The 17,254-nt window shown below is 50.3% G+C and overlaps 1 protein-coding gene across 10 annotated transcripts in view; it reads right to left on the minus strand.

Annotated features, from left to right (window-relative positions):
• Positions 1–17,254, minus strand: part of ATP10A (ATPase phospholipid transporting 10A (putative)) — a 192,852-nt gene that overhangs the window by 34,281 nt on the left and 141,317 nt on the right. For 9 of the 10 annotated variants that reach the window (XM_011521828.3, XM_005268261.5, XM_011521826.3 and 6 more), the window contains 6 exons: positions 15,140–15,392; positions 11,665–11,882; positions 10,213–10,407; positions 7,157–7,724; positions 1,680–1,783; positions 1,459–1,585 (listed from right to left, as the gene is read on the minus strand). In XM_011521828.3, coding sequence (XP_011520130.1) covers positions 1,459–1,585; positions 1,680–1,783; positions 7,157–7,724; positions 10,213–10,407; positions 11,665–11,882; positions 15,140–15,392 — 1,465 coding nt within the window. Of the gene's footprint in view, positions 1–1,458; positions 1,586–1,679; positions 1,784–4,392; positions 7,043–7,156; positions 7,725–10,212; positions 10,408–11,664; positions 11,883–15,139; positions 15,393–17,254 lie in introns of those variants that run through there. The other variant, XR_001751368.2, reaches the window with a different exon arrangement.

Below are 17,254 nucleotides of genomic sequence, written 5' to 3' on the forward strand. Positions count from 1 at the left end.
AGCCCGCATGACCAGCTTGCAGTGGCAGAGCAGGGCTGGACAACTGAGTCAGGGCTCCTGGGCTCTGAGAGCAGGGAAGATGGAGAAGGGGCAGCCTGGGACTCACAGCCATGTCCCCAAATAGTCAAGGTTTCATCATGTGGAAAAGGGAGGAGATTCTGTCTGCATTACTCCAGGGGGCGGAACCAGCAAGCACTGTGAAATGGCACCGGAGGGCCAATTTCACTCCATTTGAGAAGTTAGTGCTGTCCAGGGGAAAAGCTGCTCCCTGGGGAAGGTGCCCCACAGTGAAGGGTTAAAAACAAGCCTGGTCAATGAGGCTGGGCGGGCACGTCTGGGACAACCAGCAGATGCCTCCTACCCCACAGGCCTGCACAATACTGTCTTCCGGGGAAGCCCAATCAGTCCAGACGACAGCAGCCCTGCTTTAGTAAGCCAAAACTTCAGGGCCTAAAACAGGCACAGCCATTTCTCAGGTGTTCCATTTAATTCACATCCAGGGCTGCCACTCATGGTGCCACTGGGCCCCTGGATCCCGGGGCTTTCCAAGTAATGTGTGGCCTCCTATAAGATTCTGTGGGCAAACAATATATAAAATGTGTGCAGATATATGTTATGCCTAGTGTACATTATGCTATTAAATGCAAACCTTAACTATGTATTATACTAGAAATGTAGATGTAAATATATAGCTATCCCAACTCCTCTGCCCAGAAAAAGAGGGCAAGTGAACACCGCCTTTTTGTGTTAAGTGAAGATGACCTGCCCAGGGCTTTGTGCTCGAGAAGTACCACCTGACTCACAGCACCCGAGATGGAGGTGGGGGTGGACCATCCTCAACACCAGCTCTTCAAGGACACACAGAGCATGTATACAATGACTTGGCTATTTAATGAATGCTTTAATAAATAGGAAAATAAATATTTTAAGTATTAAAGTAAGCATTAACATAATAAATACCTTCATTTATCACTAATACTAGTTAGCATTTATTAAGTACCAAGATGAACACAGCTGGAAATGTGGACATATTTCAGTAAAAATGAGCCCATTTTCTTTTCATTCACCTCGAATCTGTGAAACATTCCTAAGATGCAAAATGCAGCAGTTTCTGGGTCCCAAAAGTTTCCCTGTTTCCCGAGGGGAAAATCCTTTCAACTCCCAACTGTCAGAAATCTCACTCCTTGGCTCTATTTTTGGTGGGAAACCAGGTTAAGGGGAAGCGTGGCAGCTGCTGTCTTGGGGTGCCTGGGGGGCAGCACGTGCACCTCACAGAAATGAGACTAGGAGAAGATTCAGGCAAGCACCCTCCCGCCTCGGCTGTGCCAGCGTCCTGCCAGGTGGCTCCCTAACCAAGGCCAGCCTGCGGAGCAGCCGCTGACAAGAGCACTCACCCCTCCAGGGCCGTCCCTGCAAACTCCACACTGCCCTTAGGCATGCGACTCTCAAGTTAATTACCTAACAAGTGCAGGTTGGTCTCCAGGCGAATGGCAGACTGGAAGAGGAGCTCCTCGCTGTTTTCCAGGGAGGATTCGGCTTCTAGGTGGCTTTGCAACCAGCAGGCATACTCTTCTTTACTCAGAACCTATGGGAGATACATTGTTGAGTGCTGCACCGGGCGCTGCTCACTGTGGGGCGGCCACCTGCACGTGCACCCTCGCGGAGACACCCCCACTCACTCTCTTGGCGATGCACAAGGTGCGCAGGCCTTCCGCCGCATACACGTTGAGGTAATTCTGAGTTTTGCTCCGAATCTTTTTTTGATGCCTCCCTCTGGCGTCAACTAGGTTGGAGAATAAGCAGAAACATGGGTAAGAACTGGCGCCTGTGGAATGGTCTTCAGACACTCCGAGATTTACCCCACGTCTGTTCGTTACTTGCGAATAGAGCACAAATTTTCATATAGAATTCAAAGCAAAAATGAGCTGTTATGTTTTAAAAAAGAGTCTCATCAATATGTTTGACTGTTTTATTTTATTTTTTTATAGAGACAGGGTTTTGCCACGTTGCCCAGGCTGGTCACGAACTCCTGGACTCAAATCATCCACCCGCCTCGGCCTCCGAAAGTACTGGGATTACAGATGTGAGCCACTGCGCCCTGCTGATGTTTGGCTGTTTTTAACATCCTTTGTTGAAATAAGCTCATGAAAATAAAAACTACATCAAAAGTCATTTGGCATCCTTTTGCCCAGCCTATTAAATGGAGGCTCACGTTCTTCCTGTTAATGAAAATTCTTACTTAATGGGAAGTGCACTTTCTATCCTCAGAAGAGTAGGATCCTTACAAGTAGCATTGCCAGATACAACAAACGATGTCTAAATATGGCATAGGACATACTTTTACTTAAAAAAGGATTTGTTTGTCTGAAATTCAAGTTTAACTGGACATTCTATATATACAGTTTGTGAAATCTGGCAACACTACTGACCAGTCATGAGGCCCGTGGCCCAGGAAGGATTATCTACTAATCTAAGTCCACCACCTGAAAGAGGACCCGGTAAGAGACCCTTTTACATGCCTGACCGTGCTGCATTCTCCACAGGGGTGACAGAGCCCTCAAGGGAGTGATCACTGGTTCTTGGAGGTGGAAAAATCTTACTCTTTTCTAAACAAAGTCTAAGTACACATATAGAACATAAACAGATACACAGCATATCTATGTTATTAAAAGGCCAGGAGGGGACAATTGAAAAAGAAGTCAGAAAAGACTCTTTATGGAGTTGATAATGGGGAAGAAAAACAGTTGCCCTAGAATCCTTTGCTTTAGGTATTTACATTTCCCGAAAGGATGATGCTCAAACTCATCTTTGTATTCCTGGTATCGTGGTAACACTCTTAGAAGATGCAGATAACCTTTTCCCAGAATCAGATTGTTCCTCGAGCAAAGCCGTGCCTAACTGAGGGGTTTTGGAATTGAAATACTCTTGATAAAGCTGTCCCATTGTCCTGAGAGGTGACATGTGGCGTGCACTGGGACGTGCGGTGGTACCGGGTGTGACACTGAGATTAACCACTCTCCAAAACAAAATGAACCGAGCCCAGGGAGGGAGGATGGGCCACTCGGGACCCTGGGTGCCCCAGACGAGGAGACGGCCCCACAGGTGTCTGCTTCTCAGGTGGACAATGGGGTGTTTCTTTGCAGGGCCATCTGCACAGAGCCTAGTGACAGGGAGCACCTGGCCCTGCCAGGCAGAAGTGGCTGAGCCCGTTGTCCTCTCCTGCAGACATGGACACACACCTGTGCCCCTTCTGGCGAGATCTGCCCCTCGTTCTTGGGTGACTTTTCCCTTACATGTCCTGCCGCACCTACCACTGGGCAGTCACTGCGGAATACCGAGGCTGGGCTTTGGAGGGTGGGGCCCTTGTGGAGGCTGGAATCGGTCTACACTCTGATGGGGGGTAGGAGAGGATGGGAAGAACTCAAGCTCCAAGGAGACCATCACCGAGGAGCTGGGGGAACCTCCGAAGGAGAATGTACTGGGGAACAGAGTGTGGATCCCTAGAGGCATTCAGTCAGCCCTGCTCTTCTCCACTTGCTGAAGTGATGCTGGGGGTGGCTGATTTCGAGCTGAAGGCATGGCAATTTTCACACTGCATTTTAGGCAACGGTCATGCAATATTAGCCCCTTCTTTCTGATGTTCCACAGCCACCCAAGTCCTGTGTGTCTTGTCTCCCTATGGTGACAGGAGGAATTCTGTGCCTGGAACTCAGCTCCTCGGGTGAGGAGTGACACCACCTGAGGGAGTGGGACCAGTGCTGCCCGGCGCCCCCTGCTGGGCAGGGACAGTCGAGAGCTCTGTGCTGCAGGACGCTGAGGCTGCATCTGGGTCGGGGCAGGAGCAGGAGGCTAAGGGGCACAGCTCCAGGTGCAGTCTGCGAAGATGACTCCAGTGCCCACTGACCCCAGACACAGCAGGGCCGAGACAGCTGCACCTGACAGTGGGCTGCACCTGATGTTCCCACCAGGAGACAGCTGGCGAGTGGTGCTTGCAGACCCACAGAGAGGCCCTCAGAGGGATGAGGGTAGCCTCTCTTCATGATTTTACCACGTGCTTTAAAATTGCTCCAAGTGATATTTCCATTTCTTCTAAGCTTTACAAGCGATATTTCCCCAATAAGGAGTTATCTTATTAAAATGGCAAACTAACGTGCAGTCCCTGCTTGTACATGCATGTACTCATCATGCAAAAAACATATACTGATTACTGCATGGTATCAATGTGTGAGGCCCACGCTAGGCAGTGGGCTACGGCCATCTCTCTGTCCTTGCTCTGGGAGAAGGCAGAGTGGCCTGAGGTTTACACCTTAAAGACCACTCCAAGTAGCAACGCCACCAAAGCATAAGCAAGTGGATCTTAACAAGAAGGAGCCAGAGACTTGGGAAAGGTACCGAGTGGACGCTGGACATCAATGTAACAGCAGGCACTGAGCTAGGGGCTCATGTGGGGACTTCCCGTGAGAGGCAGGCACTGTGATTTCCTTTGTAGATGGGAAACTGAGGCACAGAGTGAGTGACTCGTCCAGGGTCATCCCAGCCGTAAGTGTAGACCTGGGATTTGAACAGAGATCTGTGAGAATGGGTTGGGGTGGAGTCCCTGCTTGTTGCCTGACACCACACCTGCCAGGGCAGGTGAGCCATGGCCCCATCCTGCTGATATCATACAGTCACATCCACTATCTGCTCAGCCAACTCGGGCCTCTTCTGGTGAAAGTGTTTCGAGCCCTCTGAAGAGGGCATCAGATTAAGTCTGGAGTGGGACACCTCTGTGCCCTCCTCAGTTTGTCACCTACACACAGGTAGTAAGTTGATTTACACAGGCAGAGCGATTCCCAGGCACAGTGAGCCCTCTGCAATGAGTCTGCACCTATCCACACCCCTCCACCGCTCCCCAAGTAAAAGGCGAATGATCTGTGCATAAGGGCAGGCGGTCACAGGTGGGTAACTTCGAGGGGACTCCAGGGCCCTCCTGTAGTCGTTCTCTTGGGAAACTGCTGGGGTCTCTGAACTTCCTGAACCTTAACCTGCCCAGTGTTGACACGTAGATCTTCCCTATCCAAAGCTGACTTCATGCACTGCTTGGAAATTCCCAGAGGAAGGCGGAGATCAACACAAGCCCTTGATTAACTTTTCCTATCAATGTCATGGTTTTGATAAGGTGAGAGTTGAGACAATGTCATTACCTGGCCCTTCCATGATGCCATGGATTTGAGGTTCTTTTTCTTATCTGCAGTTACCTGGTTATGGGAAGCTCCCTTCCTGAGACCCAGAGCAAAGCCACGCTGACGATGCCAGGTCTGAGAGGCTCCCCGGCCTGGGCAGGGGCTCCCCTACCCCGACTGTGAGTTTGATTTTGAGTCGGAGGAGAGCATTGTGGATTGTCTTGTAACCGGCATCAGGTGCCTTCCCAACTTGCAGACAAACGAGGAAATCCCTGGCTCACTCAGGGGCCTCTGGAGGCCAGGCCACCACTGTTCCTTTTGCCATGGCCCTCGGCACCTGCTAGTGAACAGGCAGGGGGGCCCTGCCTCTTGATAATGCTCTATCCACTCTGGGAAGGTACCAGAAAAGCAGGAGTAGGAGAGTGAGCAGGTCGTGACGCTAAATTCATTCAATTGAAAGGCATCCAGTTTTCTGGGTTATCCTTGGTAATTTTTTGGGGGGGACGGGGTGGAGTGTGAAATGTGGTCCTTCTTTTATGAAATAATGGCTGATGGTATTAGTGAGACTTAGTGACAGCAGTTCTTTTTGTGTGTGTTCTGCTTTTGAGGTTTTTACTCATGTAAAAAAATATGTTGCCAGCAAAGACAAGCCCGGCAAGTGCTGCGGCCTTCCTTGCACAGCTCACAGGGCTCCCTGCTCTACAGGACTGGACAGGCCTCGCCTGCCAGCGCTGGGCAGCCCCCACATGCCAGGGCCACTCCATGCCTTCCCCTTAGACATCACCCGTCATGCTGTGAAATCTGAAGCCCAGGACCCCTTATGTTGTCTTGAACCCAAGGCTGTGGAATAAGAGAGATTTTTTTTTGCTGTAGAATGAAATCACTCAGATAATTGCCCTATTTATGTTTTTCTTTTGTGTGGATGTAAACAAGAATCGATTTTCAGAAGAAGCTTCCTAGAACTCAAACTGTGTCCATGAATTGGATTCTTTGCTGACTCCAAGGCAGAGCCACTGCAGTGGGAGAAAGGGAAGATCTCGCCCCGCGGTGGTCATCATCATGGAAGGTCATCCAAACTCCTCTCAGAGACACATTTGCAGATTTAGCTCAGCTGCCTTTTGGAGGTCACAGCTCTGTGATGGGGACATGGATTTCCTGTATGAAGCTCTTCCTCCCATCCAATTCTCCATCATGAGTGGTCCTGGGCTTCTGTGCCAGGGGTCCTCTCCTGAGGCACTGAGATGCTGGCAAGAAAGGCCAGTGGGAGGTAAAGTACTCCCTAGCTCCAACTCGGAGCTCCAGAAGGGAGCAACCGGCTTATAGCATTTCCCAGCAGCTGCTGCCCAGAGGTACTTCCAAGGTGCAGCAAATAGGAAGCCCGTGGCAGGCAGTAGAGCCTCAGCAGGGCCCCTAGGCTCCTGCAGCATCCTCACCTCCACCCAGTTCAGTTCCCTGGAGGTGAGGCTGCACTCCTCCGTCCTCTGAGCACAGAGGGAGAGGTGGGTGGCCAGGTTCCCTTTATGAGGGGGGCTCGGCCCTTCCCCTCCCAAGTGCCAGAACAGAGGGCAGTGGGGGAGGCCAGCATCCCTTACTTCCTGGGCCCCCACTGTGGCCCAAGGCAGCCCCATAAACTGTGGCCTGGATCTCTCTGCTGCACCAGGTCCACAGGGCAGGAAGAACTTTCTAGAGCTACTAGTCTAGATTCTCAACCTTCATTGTTCAAATTTAAAACGTGACACTCTTCAAGTATCCTCTGACCCCCCAGTTCTTGGAGGTGGGGGTGTGCAGGCATGGAAGTCCCCTGAATACTTCCTAGTCCAAACCCTTCAAACAGGCAAACACTGATCTGAAGAAACCATGCAATTCTCCAATGGGCATTTCTGTTGGAAAAGGATTAATGAAAATCACTTTACTCAAGAGAAGGAATTGGGTGGGGATATTTCTCAGGACCTCCTCCCCCGAGCTGGGGTGCAGCTGGGCAGGGGTGGGAGTACCTGAAGAGCAGGGCTGCAGGAGATCCATGACCACTGAGTCGGCCCCCTTGGTGTAGACGTTGATCTCATCGGTAAGCGGGTGCCGGATCACCACTGACATCCTCTTGCGGACGGAATCGAAACCCAGTGTGTGCAGGAGCTCGAAGGTGAGCCTGCCCAGGTGGGGCAGCTCCACTGACACTTGGTCGTGCAGCCGCTCCACAAGCACGCAGTTGTAGGCTCTGGCCGCATACACCAGTGCGGCCTCATCCGGGCTCTCCGCCTCGTACCGCAGCTCGCGCTCTGACTCCTGCTCCTGAGCAAGCTCCGAGGCCCAGTTGTCCGCCTGGCTGCTGTAGCCGTTGCTGGCGATGGCCGAGGTGGGCTGGCCCAGCCTCTCCTCCAGCCTGAGAAGCATGCCGTCGCTGGACGGGGTGGACGGGAAGCTGGAGCCCAACTTGTGGCTGGACTTGTTGGCGGCCAGGCTCCCGATGCTGCTGCAGCCTGAGGTCAGGCAGCTGGGTGTGAACCTCCGCAGGAAGTCTTCTATCGTCTTCACCGGGGACTTCAGCTCAAACCTCACCCTCACCTGCAAGAGAAATGGTCAGAAGGCAGGTGAGGGAACTGCTATGTCCCCCAGAGGCCCCACCCTGGTTCCCACAGGATGCTCCAGGCACTTGGAGGAACAATGACCTCGCTTCCCCACTGGGGTCTCAGAGCACAGATTTCCCATTTCCCAGATTTCAGGCATGCATTGAAATTGCAAGCAGAATAGTGTCGCAATAAACATGTTGTGCACATGTATCATAAAACTTCTTAAAGTATAATAATAATAATAAAAAAAGAAATTGCAAGCAGAGACAGTACTCCTTCCTTGAGATCGTCCGCTGGCCTCTTCCACTTCTCTTAAACAAAGGTTATGCAAGATTCTTTCAGAACGTGATTGCCGAGGGCCCATCAGTGAGGCCTGGATGTATGCAGGGGAGTTGCAGCTGGTGGCATCTGCAGGCTTCTTTTGGGGCTGTCCCTGCACTACAGTGTCCCCTTGCTTTGCAAAAAAACAGCTCAGGGGAGCAGGCTCACCATTGCCTGGCACAAAACTGGGCATTTTTTTTCCAATTAAAAAGTCACTTAACAAACCATCAGTTTATACTTCCTTTGAATTATGTCTATAAAAATTTAATATACAAATCACATTTCCAGTCCCCAAATAATCCTTCTAAGCGCATTAAATACACTGACAAATTGAGGATCCCAAACATTGAAACAATATTTTAACCACCACAGTAAGAAACAAAATGAATGACACATATACACACACACACACACACACACACACACACACACACAATTGTTAAAGTTTCAAAAAGCTCAATGATAGGGCAACAGAGCCACGCTTTTTTCTTGCTCTTTATTGAAAGAGCAAATGTCAAAACAACCAAAATACTGAATTAGCAATTCTTAAAACTGCAATTTTACCATTGCATCCTAAGTTGTGAATTACAGTAACAGCCTCCAGAAAAATCAGGTGTTTGGTAAAGCAAGGTGCATAGAGCCAGATTTTGATACAGGTGCTTTTCCTTTGGTCTTGTTATGACTTTAAATACGCTACATAGCCAGCTGGGAGACATAGGCACCTGCACAGCAATCCCTGCTGGCTCCAAATGTCCTCGAAGGTGGCGCTCACCAACCAATATGTGGGAATAGAAATGCACCCAGAGACATCTTCACCTGCAGCCTGAGTGTGGGTGATTGATAGGCTGTTCCCTAGGTGGAACTCAAGCCGTGTAACCTTCAGCACAAGCCTCAATGACGCTGCCATCTCTCACCCTTCATTTAACATCTGTCAGTCAGGGTCTAGCCCAGAAAAGGGGCACTTCCTGCAGGGATATACACCAGAAGGGTTTTTAATGCTGGGGGCAGAGCCCAGAGGCCAGATGGGAGATGCTGAGGCAGCCAGGAGATGAACTGCAGCTTCGGGAAGCAGCTCCAGCCCAGGGCTGCCGGCCTAAGCCTCAAGCCTGCTGGTCTCTGAGTGGCAGGCCTGTCCACTTGGGAGTCACTGGGTCCAGGTACTGCCAGACATGCTGCTGCAGCAGAGAAAATACAGGCCACCTTGTTCACCCCACATCGCCTGCGGAGGGACCTGCTGGAAGGGCAGACCCAGGAGGCTGGGAAGGGATCCTGGGAGAGTCGGGGGCTGGGAGGTCTATGACACACACCTACCCCATTCAACATTCAAAACTGCCTGGTTCCATATGCATATCACGCTTCCGTGCCCCCTACACTGCCTAGCCCACTGTAGGGCTTTCTGGGGTGCACTGGGTGATAGAGGAGCTTTCACACGTGCAACCTTTCCTCTCTCAGGAGAAAACCTTAATGTCAGACTGAACCAAAACCAATTTGAGCATTGCTATATTTCCAGTGTCCTAAGTAGCCTCTGATCGATTCTCGACCGCTTTTCATTGAAGAACAATCTTCGATGCCCCATAAATCCTCCCCATGGCCCCACGGCCCAGGCGGGCACCCCAGGCACAGGGAGGAGGCCAATGTGTCTCCAGCTGCATGGCTGGTAGAGTCAGGGTCCATGTGCAAGCTCCTCGTCCCAGAAGCTGGGCCCCCGGCCTGTCTTGTCCTCTCTCCTGTGTGGATCTGGGACCCTGAGGCTCGGGGAGGTTGTCCTGGGTAGCCTCCCTCTGGCCCTGCCCCAGGCCAGGCAGCGAAGGAAGGACCCAGGCAGGCAGGGCCTCCACACACCCACCTGCCTACCTGAGGCTGGCCTATCTGGCTGCCCTGTGTCCCTCCCCTCCCAGGCTCAGAAGTCATCTCTGGTGGGCTGCCCCCTCCCACTTGGCCCCAATCATAGCCCCTGCCCACTATAGCCTGGGGCCAACGCTGCAGAACCACAAGCACTGTTTTGCCCAGTATGAAGCACCCCACCGCATCCCCCTTAGGTCACGATGTGCCAAGAGCGCTTGCTGCAGGAAAGGGAAGGGCGCCTGCCCTCAGGAGGACTGACAACCATGGCCCGCAGCGCAGAAGGTCAAGGTCAAGCTCAGGGACCCTCCAGAACTTGCCTTTGTTCGTGGCTGATCCGGGGACGTGACGACGACTGTGTTGCAGATGGTGAGTGCGATGAAGAAATCAAAGACGTCAGACAGCTCAGGCGAGAGGTGGGCCAGCAGGTGCTCCTGATGCCTCGCCACGGCTAGGCTCTTGTCACACTCACTCACCTTCTCCAGCAGCTTTGGGTCGGGCGTGATATCCTTCTCCTGGGAGAAAGGGAGGCTGGCAGTGAGTCCCACCCAGTAGCCTGCCGAGGATCTTGGGGCGTGACTATTTAAGGTACTTTGATTTTATTATAAGCTGTAAACAGAACTTCATCTCTCATATACATATATGTCATTTTATAATTGTAAATTACTTACAATTTTAATTGCACAAAATATACAGAGCTTCTATCCACTTTGTGAAAACCATGCTTCAGCATTGCCCTCTAGTCTTTTCGCTCTACATTTAAATTTCACATAATCAAAATATTTTATATACATATTGGTGGTTTCCATTTTCTCCAAAACATTATTAATTGTCTGAACTTTTCCAGGCTTTTAAGAATTATTTAAAAACACATTTTAACAACTTGAAAATGGATATGTCATCATTTATTTGACCATCCCTTTATCACTGGATATTTAAATTTCTTTCAGTTTTGCTGATGTAAATTACACATTGATAAACTTCCATATGTAGCAATCCTTGGCTGAATCGCTAAATTGCTAGACGAGAAAGTTTGAATACTTTAAATACTCTTGACTCATACTGAAAAATGCTGTCAGGAAACCTTGTTCCAGTGCAGCCTCCCTCCTGCCAAGCGTGAGAGCCCCCACTCCCAGGGGCCCTGTAGAAACCCACCAATCAGCGTCCAAAACTCGAAATCAGCCCTATTTAGATGGCAGCTTCTCTGTGGGTTTAGAAGCACATGAGAGAATGAGGCCACCACAGAGTAAGCAAGGGGGATTCATCCCCTCTGCTGCATTGGTAAAACATTTCAGAAGTGAAAGGCTCTTTCAGAGGTTATTGCTCACTTCTCGCCTCTCCGTGCTGGATGATGGTGGTCCATTAATGTCTGGGCGGCTGACAAGGCCAGGCAGAAAGTATTTTATGGATTTGGGCTCGTCTAATTAAAACTCCCTTGGGAGGGGTTGGCTTTGCTTTTTAGCGGTTGTCATCTTGTCCTGAGGTTTTATTTGCTTCATTTGGCAGCACGGGCTTCCTCTTTGTCACCCTTTCTGGGTGACTTGCCAGCAATCAACCAGCCTTAGAAGCCATGCAAAGGGGCCATGTCAGTGTCTTGGAAAAGACGACAGTGGAGAGAAAGTGTTGGCCAGAAAAGCTTCTGCTGAGTAGAGCCAAGCCGCCCAGCGACAGTGTATTTGTAGGATTAAATATAGACACCTTCCATGAGCGGGGGATGGTGAAAATGGGGAAGAGACGTGGCAGCACCCTAGCAGGAGGCCCTGTACACTCACCATGGGGCTGCTGAAGGCCGTGTGCTTGGACAGCATGCTGGCCCTCTTGGCCTCGGCCCGGCTGCCCGTGCGCCGGTGGGACTTGGTGCTCTGGGTTCTGTGCACCACCCGGACACTCTGGTGGCTGCCGATGCTGCCGCGCTGGGACACCGAGCCCCCTCTGGGCACCACCTCCTCCTCCTCCGAGTCTGCCTCTTGGTACCTGGCCAGACGCTGCGCTGCGGGGAGAGGGCGCAGGGTGAGGCATCATGGGGGAAGGCTGGGCGGAGCAGAAAGAAACCATTCAGTGTGTTTTAGGTTCCGCGAGGCTTCCGGCAGGGCAGCCCCACAGGATTCACCACCCTTGCTCTCTAATAGCAAGGCACGGAGAACATCCTCAGTCAGCTGCAACCTGGGGAGGTTGATATTCTCAACTCTGTTTCACAGAGACTGACTTTCATCTCAGAGAACGTAAGGAGCTTTCTAAGGTCGCACAACTTAGGGGAAGGGGAACGGGTTGACGTCCAGCCGGTCTCTTCAGGTAGAGCCTAGGTGTACATGGGGTAGGGTGGCAGGTGGCCGGGAGAGGGAGGCAGGACAGAGGGTGGCAGGCCTTCCAGTCATGCTGGGATGACGGTGCTCACCTGGTGCTGAGCTCCTTGCCCACATGGACGGTGGCCACCATCTGCTCCTGTCTGGATGAAATGCTATGGCACAGGGGGGCTCACACTCCCAGATTGCACAGCTTGGACCCCTACAGCTAGGGTTTGGACTCAGCTTTGAAACTCCATCCAAGATGATCTTGACTGTGATGTTGCCCTGCTGAGCAAATTCCCCATGACCTGGTGAACGCTGGGCAAATCCCCTTTAGAGGTGCCTGCGCTGTGGCTTCTTGCTAACCCATGGCTCTGAACCAGTTTTCTGGGTTTTGCCCAGGGAGGACAGCTTGTTTCACCGTGGATGAGCAAAATGGAGACCATTCATGAGGATTACTTATCAGAACAACCGTTTAATCAGAACTTCAAGCACAGGCATGGTGCTGAGTCAAAGCAGCAGGGGCCTGTCAAGAGGCCGGAGAAGGAGATACTTATGGAGCCGGCCAGCCGCGTGGACCACTGCGCATCTCTTAATAGACCCTCTGTGAGAGATGAGAAAAATGGGGATAAAAAAGGGGAAGTCACCTGCCCACCATCACAAGGCTGAGTACTTGCCAATGCCAGGATTCCAACTCAGGGAGATCCTAATTCCAGGAGCAGATGCCCCGCAAATGCCTCCCCAGCTCTCGGGTGGCATCAGCCCAGTGCACCGGAAGCAAGGACGCACAGAACCTGGACACATGACTCTGTCCAGCATGAGGTGAGGGGCTGGGCTTCAGCTGCCAAGAAAGTGGACTGGCCCATCCCACCCTCCCCCAGCAGTGGTCCCGCACATCCGGAGCTCCATGGAGCCATCCTTCAGGGCCCCCTCCTTCCCTCAGAGGCTGTGGGGGCCACGGCTGGTATGTTGGTGTTCTGAAGCAGTTTCTGATCGGCAGTGGCCCCTGGGATGCCTTCCATGTCCCCAGGAAAGATGAGGCCCAGGAGCAGGTAATGCCCCCTCCTGGGCATGCACAGCCAGCTAGCTCCAGGTCATCTTGCCAAGCTGTCAGAGGGGGCACACCCAAGGCTTCCACAGCCGGTTCTGGTACGTGAGCAGGGCTTGGGGCTCAGAGTCCATCTGAACTCCTTTATGAGTGACATCTGGAGAGGTCAGATCATAAGATAACTGGCTGATGACGCTCCTTGCCTGGGTGCCTGTCAATAGCTAGCTGATCCAGGCACTTCTCTAAAACACGCTGCTGAGATGTATGTGGTTTCATTCATCACCAGGAAGCTCCCTGTGTCTTGAGGCAAGGAAACCCTCTGGTTTTATGGTAGCATTTGGCAACTGTCAGAATCTTTCTGTAATCTTAGTTGGGATCCTGCCCCTGGGAGCCTAAGCTTCCAACTTTATTATTATCTTTTAAATGTATTATTATTATTAATGGATAAATCAGTACTGTATACATTCATGGGGTGCAATGTGATGTTCTGATGTATGTGTACAATGTGGCATGATTAAATCATGCTAATTAACAAATCTGTCACTTTGCTTGCCTATCATGTTTTTATGATGAGACAGTTAAAATTTACTCTCTGAGTCGTTTTGAAATGTGTAATACATTTTTATTGCCTCTGGTCACCTGGCTGTGCAACAGATCTCAAAACCTATTCCTCGTGTCTATCTGAAACTGGGTCTCGGCTTTAAGGGCTGCTGTAGAACCGACTGCCCGGGTCTCTGATCCCCTCAGGACTCTGCTGAGTTCTGTTTTTGAGAAGAGCACAATGCACTGTGCTGTACCAGGTTTAGCAACTATGGGAGGGGAAGGGGAGGAAGGAGGGAGAGGAGAGGAGGGTAGGAGAAGGGAAAAAGAGAGGAGAGGGAGGCCGAAGGAGGCTGGTGGGAGGGAGGATGGGTGAGTGGATGGAGTACTGTCATGATTATCTATTTTGGGTGGCAAATAAAACTTTAAACAAAGTGGGTAATTTCCTCTGCCTTCTGTTTACTATGACTGCTTTCATTTTGTGTTGAGGAAGACTGTGGCTATCATGATAATCCTTGGTTTTATAAATCTCACAAAAGTGTCAAGTAAACAACAGATGCTTCCCACCAAATCCTTCTAAAGAGCAGCTTCCTAGTCATGCCCGCTTGCGTTCCCTCTGTCCGGTTTTAATTTGCTGTTTCTGTAGCATGGACTCTGTTTCTGTCACAGGCAGGAAATGGACCCCAGGCTGCAGTGCAGGGTGCCCACTCCCAGGGCGCTGCAGCCCCAGGCACAGTGGTGGCGGGGACCCTGGTCCATGCCCTCTCCTGACTGGGGTGGGGCGCTGGCTGCAGTCACACCCTGGGATTCAGAAGCTGGTGTCTCCCCAGAGACACCAGGTTGGAAGGAGGCAGCCACAGATAAGGAAGGGAGAGGTGGGAGTGGGGACCGCTTCAATAATTGGGAGTGAGGCGATTCATCTTTCTAGTTCCCAGGAACACTGTTCCAGGGAAGAGAACGAAACATGAATTAGCCAGTGCCCTTCTGAGGATTTTATGACTAGAAAATGGATGGATGACAACAGAGACATCTCTCTGTCCCTTGGTGTGGCAGAGCAAGGGGACCGGATGCCTTGGGAGTGAGCTCCTTGCGGGTGGCTTGCCTGATTGCTTAGGCGGATGCCTGGCACCCCAGACACTGCAGGAACAGGGCGGGCGGCCGTGCCAGTGCCTGTTCTATAAATAGCACCGGGCTTCAGGCACCTGAGCTGCTGTGACAGCCACGTCTTTATACTCCCTTGAAAATCAGTAATCCCTGAAGCGTGTGTGTGTGTGTGTGTGTGTGTGTGTGTGTGTGTGTGTGTCTCCAAACAATTCTGGATAGGGCAGCTTTCTGGTTCAGCCTGGGTTGGGAGCCCCGCACCCCCAGACTCACCATTTGCATCATGAGAATATTCTACACCAGACACAGTGCATCTTCGGAAAACCATCTTATTCTCTGTCAAAGTGCCAGTTTTATCTGAGAAAATGTACTGTATCTGTCCTAAGTCTTCCGTGATGTTCAGAGCTCGGCACTGCAGCTGCGAGTCTGTTTCTTCGTCATACAACTGCATGTCCTGGTTAATGAAGTACACTTGGCATGCTTTAACAATTTCAATGGAAACGTATAAGGAAATTGGGATCAAAACCTGGAAGAGACAAGGCACACAGGATGAATGACCGTGAGGACCAGGGAGCTGGGGAATTACTCAAATCTATTTAAATAACAAATGACTACAACCGCAAGAAAGTAGGGACTATACTGTACCTTTAAGAGAGCTTAAATAGGTTGGTTTAGAGTCAGTATTGGAAAAGTATTAGAGTATTGGCAAAGAGAATAAACTAGGACAGCTTATGGAGCAGCTGCAGGGCGGGGATCCACTATGGTGTCTGGAAGTATGGTACCCATGGCTTGGATAGAAGCAAGCAAGTTGTGCTTGAGAGAAGCTAGGACAGGAAAGAGAGAAAAGAGAAAAAAAATCATGGCACAGTCAGTCCTCATAAGCAAGGTCACCTCACACCACACTCCATGGTGGCATTCGACCCCCAGGCTTTCCCTGGGCTCCCATTTCCCAGGGATACAACCCCAAGTTCAGGGGGCAGTGCAAACACAACAGACAGTCTTTTTTCAGATGCTGGCCTTGTGATTCTGTGCTCTTCTTGTACAATGCAGAGGAAAGGGAAAGAGGCTTTGAGAAAAACATTCAGTGATGCCTCCATAATTTAAGAACAATTCTCCTCGATATTAATGTTTGCTTACTCATTTGTTTTTGTAGAGTAACAGTATTGGACTAATGTTTACAGACTCAGAATATCACGCACAGACTAACTGGGTTCTCCTGGGAACTGAAGTACGTTAATCAAACACCAGCTACAGTCCTAACTCGAGGCTAGAACAAAATTTGCATTTATTTAGAAAACTAATTTAGACAGTTAAATAAGACTGTTTCCTGTTGTATGAAGCACATATACGAGACAGCAAAGGTTCCCTCCTAGGCAAAGGCTGAGCCAATGTCCTCTGGTCACTCAGTTCCCAGGAAGGTTGGTAGTGACCCCACTGCCCCCTCGTCCTCTGGACTCTGGGACCCTCCCCACTCTTTCACAGACCTTTCTGGGCATAGATAGCCAGGCATTGACTGGGAGGTGTCAGGGAGGCATGCGAATTAATAATAATAGTAACAATAGCAAGTGCAGATAAATGCAATGTGGATAACCTCAACTAAATCCTGGAGGAGAAAAAGCACATTTATGGAAGGACTAGTGGGATCTGAAAGAAGGCTATAGTTTTGTTCAAAGCAAAGGACTAGGCCGGGTGCAGTGGCTCATGCCTGTCATCCTAGCACTTTGGGAGACCGAGGTGGGTGGATCACTTGAGGTCAGGAGTTCAAGACCAGCCTGGCCAACATGGTGAAACCCCATCTCTACCAAAAATACAAAAATTAGCAAGGTGTGTGGCATGCACCTGTAATCCCAGCTACTCGGGAGGCTGAGGCAAGATAATTGCTTGAACCCAGGAAGTGGAGGTTGCAGTGAGCCAAGATCGTGTCACTGCACTCCAGCCTGGCGACAAAACAAGACTCTGTCTAAAAAAAAAAAGAAAAAGAGAAAAAAAAAACAAAGTGAAGGACTAAAGTTGGCTTCTTAGTTTTCACAATGTCCCATGACAATGTAATATGTTCACATTAGGGGAAAGTGGGTGAGGGATGCATGGAAACTCTCTGTAAAATTTATTTAGAAAACTAAATTTTATTTTGGAGTAATTTTAAGATTTACAGAAAAGTTGCAATGACTTTGCAACTTTTCTGTAAACCTTAAAATTATCCCAAAATAAAATCTATTTTTTTTAAAAGTAACTGAAAGGAAAAACAACAAAATGAAAACAGTGACCCAAACCAAACCCTCAAAGCACAAGAACCTTAAGAACAGAAAAGGAGAATTTTAACTTAAAAATCACCCAAGGAAAGATCCCATTGGTGATTTAGGCTGAAAAATAAAAGGCAGAACTCCAGGT

This window comes from Homo sapiens, chromosome 15 (genome assembly GCF_000001405.40).
Source record: "Homo sapiens chromosome 15, GRCh38.p14 Primary Assembly".
Classification (NCBI taxonomy): domain Eukaryota; kingdom Metazoa; phylum Chordata; class Mammalia; order Primates; family Hominidae; genus Homo; species Homo sapiens.